Below are 8,225 nucleotides of genomic sequence, written 5' to 3'. Positions count from 1 at the left end.
TTATGCACAAAGTTATTCATTGTGGCATTATTTGAAATTTTGGAAACAATCCAAATGTCCATCAGTAAGAGACGAACTGGGCTGGGCATAGCGGCGCATGCCTGTAATCCCAGCACTTCGGGTGGCCGAGGCGAGCGGATCACATGAGGCCAGGAGTTGGAGACCAGTCTGGCCAACATGGTGAAACCCCATCTCTACAAAAAATACAAAAGTTAGCCAGGCGTGGTGGCATGTGCCTATATTTCCAGCTACTAGGGAAGCTGAGGTGGGAGGATGGCTGAAGCCCAGGAGGTTGAGGCTGAGAGCCCTCATGTCTTAATTTCCTCCTGGAGGTCTTAAAAGTTCATCTTCATCTGGAAATCTTATTGTTAATAAAAATATTGGCATTATTTTTGAAACTATTTTATAAAAACCACGGAATAATGCAAATAAGTAATTGTTAGTGCTAGAATCTAAAATCTTCAGTGTATGAGAAAAAAGATACAAAGATAAGACCAAAGAGATTAAATAAATACCCCGAAATATTAGATTGGAATTGGAACTATCAGCAGAAACTCTTAATCCTTTTGTTTTTCCTGTTCAAAAGTATGTATTTCCTAGCTCTGTCCACTGAAAAGGTTTAGAAACAATAATAACCCGGCAGCAACGTGTGCACTTGTGCCCAGATCGTGTTCACCATCTACCAAGAACCAGGGCTCCTTGGAGGAATGGCAGATTCCAGGTCTGGGAAAAGAAGCAGACACATGGCCGGGCACGGTGGCTCACATCTGTAATCCCAACACTTTGGGAGGCCAAGGTGGGCGGATCACAAGGTCAGGAGTTCAAGACCAGCCTGGCCAATACGGTGAAACCCTGTCTTTACTAAAAATGCAAAAATTAGCCAGGCGTGGTGGTGTGTGCTTGTAGTCCCAGATACTCGGGAGGCTGAGGCAGAAGCATCACTTGAACTTGGGAGGCAGAGGTTGCAGTGAGCTGAAATTATGCCATTGTACTCCAGCCTGGGGGACAGTGAGAGACTCTGTTTCAAAAAAAAAAAAAAAAAAAAAACAGACAACAGGAGCCTGGGACATCCTATTGGGCCAGAAAGCAAGGACATTGTCAAAAAGTAATGGGATCATATCCAAAGGGCATAGGGGTCAACAAGAAGGGACACTCACTGGCTAAAGATGGGACTACTTATCATCAGAAAGAATGATGACTGAAATGGATTGAAACATACTATGTAAACACTCATTTTTTCATATCGATAGAGAGAAAGCCCTAAATCAAACAGGTATCATTAAATACCACTGGAGATAACCAGGGTGCAATTCCTTGTCCTGAGAATTAGCAATGGAAAGAAAGAATTAGGCCCTCATCCTGTCATTTTTCTACTACCGAATCTCAATTTAAAGCCCTAGTTTATGAGGGAAAGTTCTTTATTAAAAAATTCCAGCTAATAAATGTGAAAGGATTGATAGAATTAGAAAACCATCTTTTTTACAACTCCTAATAAAATGATGGATTCAGGCAATAATCCCCTATGGATGAAATTATTAATGTGAAAGGCTGATGGAGAATTTCATAATGGAGGGATCAGATTGTCACACCTGAGCCCATGGGCCCACCCTAGCACTGCTCTTGTATCTCCTGAAGTGAAGTCACGTGCAGTACACAACCCTTACAGTTGTGTCACGTGCAGTACAAACTAAGAACGGGCTGCCTTAGTTTGGATTTCCCAAAAAAGCAGACTGTATCTAGGAAAAGGATCGGGGTGCAAGTGATTTATTTGGAAGATGATCCCAGAAAGCATCCGTCTTTAAGAGAATAGGGAAGTGAGGCAGGGAAAGGCAGAAAGCCAATAAAAAGTGAATTAATGAGTGGGTCTTTACTCCGGGAACTGGAGCTCCATTCCTCTGGGGACCCTCTGAAAGGCTATACAGAACATGTCGGAAACCTTCCCTAGAGAGGCGAGGAAGCTGGGCTATTTAGCCACCAATCTCCACCCAACGCTAGTCAAAGGCTGCTCGGGGTTGTTAACTCCCTGGCTCTTCTCAGGAGCAGAAAATGCCCTCAGGTTGCAAGACTCAGAAGGTCTGCAGGTGGCCTCCAGCACTGGCCCATGGGACATGGTGGGACACCAACAGTGCCTGCTCTGGTGCCTTGCCAGAAGAGTTGAACCTGAGGCCGGACTTCTATCTACAGGAAATATAGGGGATGGAGAAGCAAGTAAATGATACCGCAAAGAGGCAAGTAGACACACCCAGGCCGTGGGGCTCCACAGGACCAATGATTCCTTCAACGAGGGTGTTCTCTGAGCTGGTTCCCACTGTAGGCAACTGGGCATATCCTGCTGGGGCCCCTCAGAGAAACCATGAGGAATACCCTCAGAATTGTTCCACAGAAGGTAGGAAAGCTGACGCATTTATCCATGATTCCAGTCCCTCATTGCTGAGGGCTGCCGCAGGGACATCAGCTTCCTGGACTTCCAAGCTGTGTCTGCTGGAGGGTTGAGTGGCCTTCTGCAGCTAAGGAGAAAGCCCGGAGGCAGAAAAGCTGAGGGAAGCTGCAGGGCGCATTTGAAATGGGGTTCAAGCAGGGTGCATGCAACTGTCCCCCCTGGATGCCCTGAGTCAACTGGGCCAAGCAGGTGTGAGGAGCGCCCCACCAGGGTCTGTACAGTGTCTCAGCAGATGAGTTCCTGCTGCAGGTGCACTTCTGGCCTTGCTGGCTGCCTCCAGCAGATGTAAGAGCTCTGGCCCTTACCACATACTGGAATTTCTCTGTGTGGGCTGTAACGAATGTGTGCCCCCCCCCCCAAGACGTGTGGGTGTGCGTGTGTGCACACATGTGTGTGCGCGCAGGTGATATGAAAGCGCTTTGTAGCCCTGCCTTGCTCTTAGAAGTACCCGATATTTCTCAGAGTGGTTTTCCTGGACCCAACCCATTTCCTCCTCGCAGACAGGGGCTCTGTGACACTTGAGCTTGGTCATGCCACTTCCCTGCTTAAGGTCATCCAAGCAGCACCGATGGCTCCTGAGTTCCCAGACCCTGAGATGCTGGAGTGGGGCTGGAGGATGGGCCATTGCTGGGCTGCCTAGATCAGGCACCTGGGCCCGTGGATCTTACAGGGGTCTCGAGAGGTTGATGGGGTGTTGAGGTCCTGAAGGGAGTACCATGGAGGTGGCCTCCTCCACGGGCCCCTGCCCTTGTCCTGGTCTCTGTCTCTCCCTATTTCTCACCTCTGCTTCTCTTGGTCTCACTTTTCCCATCTCTCTGTCTGCCTCAGTGTCCCCCTCTCTCCCTCCCCCCGACCTCTGTACCAGTTTCCCTACCCCTGGCCCCACTTCTGTCTCGGTCCTGGCCCCACCCTCCACCTGCCTCTAACTCCATTGCTTTTTGCACACCTCCTCCTCCTTCACAATAGTTTTCTTTTTCTTTTCTTTTTTGATGGAGTCTCGCTCTGTCACCCAGGCCGGAGTGCAGTGGTGGAATCTTGGCTCACTGCAACCTCCGCCTCCCAGGTTTAAGCAATTCTCCTGTCTCAGCCTCCCAAGTAGCTGGGATTACAGGCGCACACCACCATGCCCGGCTAAGTTTTGTATTTTTGGTAGAGACGGGGTTTTGCCAGGTTGGCCAGGCTGGTCTTGAACTCGTGACCTCAAGTGATCTGCCTGCCTCGGCCTCCCAAAGTGCTGGGATTACAGGCGTGAGCCACTGTGCCCGGCCCCTCATAATAGTTTTCTGCCTTCCTATCGAGAGTCAGTTTTTCAAGACAAAACAAAACAAAACAAAACCCACCACAACTTTAAAAACTCTTAGAAACATATTTTAATCACAAACGTGCAACACAGAAACATTAAGTTGGATAGAGGAAAAAATTCATAATCCCTTCACCCTAACTCGGCAGCTGTGGTCAATTTTGATGATTCCCTTTCAACCTTTTAAAATGACTTTTTCAATATAGCATCCTATACTTTGATTTTACATTCTGCTTTTTTAATCTAAATAATAAATCCCTTCAGTGGCTTCCAGTTTCTAAGCAAAACCAAAGCGCCTTTATGATGGCCTGAAAGGCCCTGAGTGATGTGCCTACTGGTTCCACCTCCCCTCTGGGGATCTCCCTGGCGTGCCCTCCTCCCAGTCCCCCTCCCTCCTCCCTGCCACTCTGCTCCAGCTACAGTGGCGTCACTTTCCCAAACATGCTAGGCATGGGCTTCCACCTCCCCCAAGGGCCTTACACTGGCTATTCCCTTTTCCTGGAATGTCTTCTCCCAAAAGTATGCATGGGTCACTTCTCACCTCTTTTATGGGTCACTCAAGGATCGTGTTCTCAGTCCAGCCTATCATGATCACCACCTAAATGGCAACATCCCCAACTTTACTCCCAATCCAGTTTTTCATAACAATGATGTTGCAAAACCATTCTACACACACATGTCAGACAGGCCCCTTTGCTCATGACTTTCTCAGCCATCCCCTGGTTGGACATTTTGGTTGAAGTGGAATTGTTGGGTTTAAAACTGTACACATTTAAAATTTCAATAGAATTACAAAATTGCCCTTTACTAAGCCTTCACCCATGGATAATTCCACCAATGGCAAAGGAAGGTGCTTTTTTCCCTTATCTGCCTTTTAAATTTTTGCCAGTTTGCTAAGCAAAATATATCTTATTGTTGTTTTAACTTGCATTTTTCTAATTAGAACAGTCACTGAACATCTTTTCATATACTTATTAGACATCTGTATTTCTTCTGTGAATTCTCTTTTCCATATCTTTTGCCAATTTAATTATTAGGTTGTTGGCCTCCTTTTTGTTGATTTATAGGAGCTCTTTATATATTGTGGATCACTTTAACCAGGGTAGATTATACCATTATCTAGTTCTACCCAAGGACAGCTTGCAGGCAGTCTTCACTCCATATTACTGCCTCCTCTGTGGGTATCAAAGATCCCACCCTTGGTTTGGGAGGCTGGTGAATGTCCTGAGCCATGTGAAAAGGGAAGGCATTACTAGGGATAAGTGTGGATGGGGGTCCTCAGCAAAGTATCAGGACATGAGTAGGTATCACGCCTGCTGAGCACTCCAGACAGCTGTCAATGAAGGCCCTCGTCAGACAGTGCAGAGCTGAATGGCTGATATGGTTTGGATTTGTGTCCCCCCTAAATCTCATGTTGAATTGTAACCCCCAATATTGGAGGAGGGGTCTGGTGGAAGGTGATTGGATCATGGGGTGGACATCCCCCTTGCTGTTCTCGTGATAGTGAGTTCTCATGAGATCTGGTTGTTTAAAAGTGTGTAGCACCTCCCCTTCACTCTCTTCCTCCTTTTCTGACCATGTAAGATGTGCTTGCTTTCCCTTCACCTTCTGCCATGATTTTAAGTTTCCTGAGGCCTCCCCAGCCATGCTTCCTGTACAGCCTTCAGAGCCATGAGTCTATTAAGCCTCTTTTCTTTATAAATTACCCAGTCTCGGGTAGTTCTTTATAGCAATGAAAGAATGGATTAATACAATGACTAATGTGGCTCTTCAGCCAAGGTGGCCTGTGGTATCCAGCTGAATGCTCACAGAAGGTCTGCTGGTGATGGCCCAGTCCCCAGGAAGCTCCCCAGTAGTGGTGACGGAGTGGACTTAGCTGTCTCTGGGCACTGACTCCACTCCTCTCCTTGGGTCCCACAGGTCCAGTTCCCCATCCCGGATCCCCCTGACCTCTTCGAAGGTCACTCTCACTCCTACTGCCTTTCTCTTTCCCAGCTCAGTGACCCCATTTACTTCCCTAGGGGAGACACGACCTGGGTCTTCTCATTCCCTCTCAATCCATCGTTAAGGCATAAATTTTACCTTCAGCTTCCTCCAAGGCCTTCCCTTTTGATTTTCAAGAGCATTTTCTTCTCTCAGCAAAAGCAGCCTCTTGCAAATCAAAAGACTTTGCCTTTCAAAAGTGTGATTTCTGATGTGGGCTTCAGTAGACTATCCAGAAAGTTAAAAAAACAATGACATCCAAACACTGACTGTTTCTCTCTCTTTATATTCCTGCTATAAAAGCACAAATTCTCCTAGGTAATTTTAAATCTCTGATTGATGTGAGGAAGTGGGAAAAATAAAAGCAAAATTGTTATTATTTCAAGATATGTTTTTGTTCCATTTCTGCATGTCTATGGTGGGTTTGTTTTCCCCGCCTGTTATTCATCTTATAACTTTGCTCATCGAGTCTTCTGTCATTCAGAAGTTAAATGTTTTTATGTAGTCAAATCTGTCCACCTTTCTTACTTTTCTTCTAATGATTTTATGGGTTTTTTTTTTTTTACATTGAGTTCTTTAAATTCAAGGGACTTTGTGTGTCTGGTGTGAGGTAGAGTTCAAATTTTCTATTTTTAAAATTGGAGAGCCATTTGTCTTAATGCCATTTATTAAATAGTCTATCTTTTCCTCATGGATTTGAAATGCTACATTTATGATTGATAGATATAATTTATCTTGTTTTATAAGGTATCTTTATTTCTGGCTTGACAGTTTTCTTGTTTTTATTCATTAAAATTTTTTTCTTGTGGGGAAGGGAGAATGGGGAGTTGGTGTTTATGGGTACACAGTTTCAGTTGGGAAGATGAGATGGAAAGTTCTGGAGATGGATGGTGGTGATGTGGTTATACATCAGTGTGAAGGTACTGAATGCCATTGAACTGTACACTTAAAAATGGTTTAAATGATAAATATTATGTTACATATATTTTACCACAATAAAAACTACTGAAAATTTTTTCTTGGATATTCTGTTGTTGTGTATTCTCTTTGTATTTTTTTCTTTCCGGATTAACCTGAGAATCAGCTTGTCAAATTCCATTTAAAATGTCTTTATTTTTAATTTTTTTAGAGACAGGATATTGCTCTGTCTCTCCCAGGCTGGAATACGTGGCGTGATCAGGGCTCACAGCAGCCTTGAACTCCTGGGCTCAAGGGAGCCTCTTGCCTCAGCATCCTGAGAAGCTGAGACTACAGGCTCCTGCCACCATGCCCAGCGTTTTTTTTTTTTTTTTTTTTTTTTGAGACGGAGTTTCGCTTCACTCTTGTTGCCCAAGCTGGAGTGCAATGGTGCAATCTCGGCTCACTGCAACCTCTGTCTCCCGGGTTCAGGCGATTCTGCCTCAGCCTCCCGAGTAGCTGGGATTACAGGCACGCGCCACCACACCCAGCTAATTTTTTGTATTTTTAGTAGAAATGGGGTTTCACCACGTTATCCAGGCTGGTCTTGAACTTCTGACCTCAGGTGATCCGCCTGCCTCAGCCTCCCAAAGTGCTGGGATTACAGGCGTGAGCCACCATGCCTGGCCTATGCCCAGCTAATTACATTTTTGTTTTTTTTTTTTTTTAGAGACAAGGTCTTGCTATGCTGCCCAAGCTGGTCTCAAATTCCTGGCCTCAAGCGGTCCTCCCATCTTGGCCTCCAGAAGCATTGGGATTACAGGTGTGAGCCACCATGCCTGGCCAAAAAATGTCTTTGCTATTTTGATTGGAATCACATTAAATTTGTAGATGACTCCGAAGAGAAATGACATCTTTATAGTACTGAATTTTTCCACCCAGGAGCATGGCAAGTCTCTCCGTTGATTCAGATCGCCTTTTATGACCTTCAGTAAAGTTTCATAATTTTATTCATTTCAGCTTATTCCTAGATTTGTGATGGCTTGTGTTGCCACTGGGAATGGAATTCTGAGTATGGCCCAGGGACTGTTGCTCAGTTCTATCCCCAGCCCAGCCTCTGGGATGCATGACTGGCTCCAAAAGACGCCTGGGACAGGAAGTACCAGCTGCAAGAGTCATTCACTGTTGCAAGCTTTGGCAATAGGAAGCAGGTGGATCCAAGTTAGAGGTTTGGCAGCCAGAGGGAGGAGAGAGGCTGGGATGAGCTGAAGGAGCTGGCAAGGTCAAGAGGAGGGACCTTCAGGATGAGGGGAACCAGAGCTTGTAATCAAATGGGTCAGAAAGAGGGAGAATCTGAAATGCTGGAGATCAGGGCTGATGCTCAGAATGAATACTGATGTAGCTCAAATGCCTCTATCACGCTGTAGAACAGATTGTGGCTTTGGAGCTAGGAGATGAGAGTTTGAACCCTGACCCTGTCACTAACTGTTTAAGTCACTTAGTTTCTAGGAAACCCAGTCTCCTCACCAGCAAAATAAGGGTGAATTCTAATTATATGTTTAATTGTTTAATTATGTGTCTGTCTTGCACTGGACTGGAGCTCCA

General features: G+C 45.6%; 1 annotated feature.

Annotated features, from left to right (window-relative positions):
• Positions 2,663 to 2,712: an enhancer, noted in NCBI's record as "active region_655". NCBI's record gives its function as "activates an Ori minimal core promoter by ATAC-STARR-seq in GM12878 lymphoblastoid cells {active_cell/tissue: GM12878}" and the evidence as "EXISTENCE:reporter gene assay evidence [ECO:0000049][PMID:35858748]".

This window comes from Homo sapiens, chromosome 1 (genome assembly GCF_000001405.40).
Source record: "Homo sapiens chromosome 1, GRCh38.p14 Primary Assembly".
Classification (NCBI taxonomy): Eukaryota; Metazoa; Chordata; class Mammalia; order Primates; family Hominidae; genus Homo; species Homo sapiens.
This window is presented reverse-complemented; position numbering and strand designations above follow the sequence as displayed.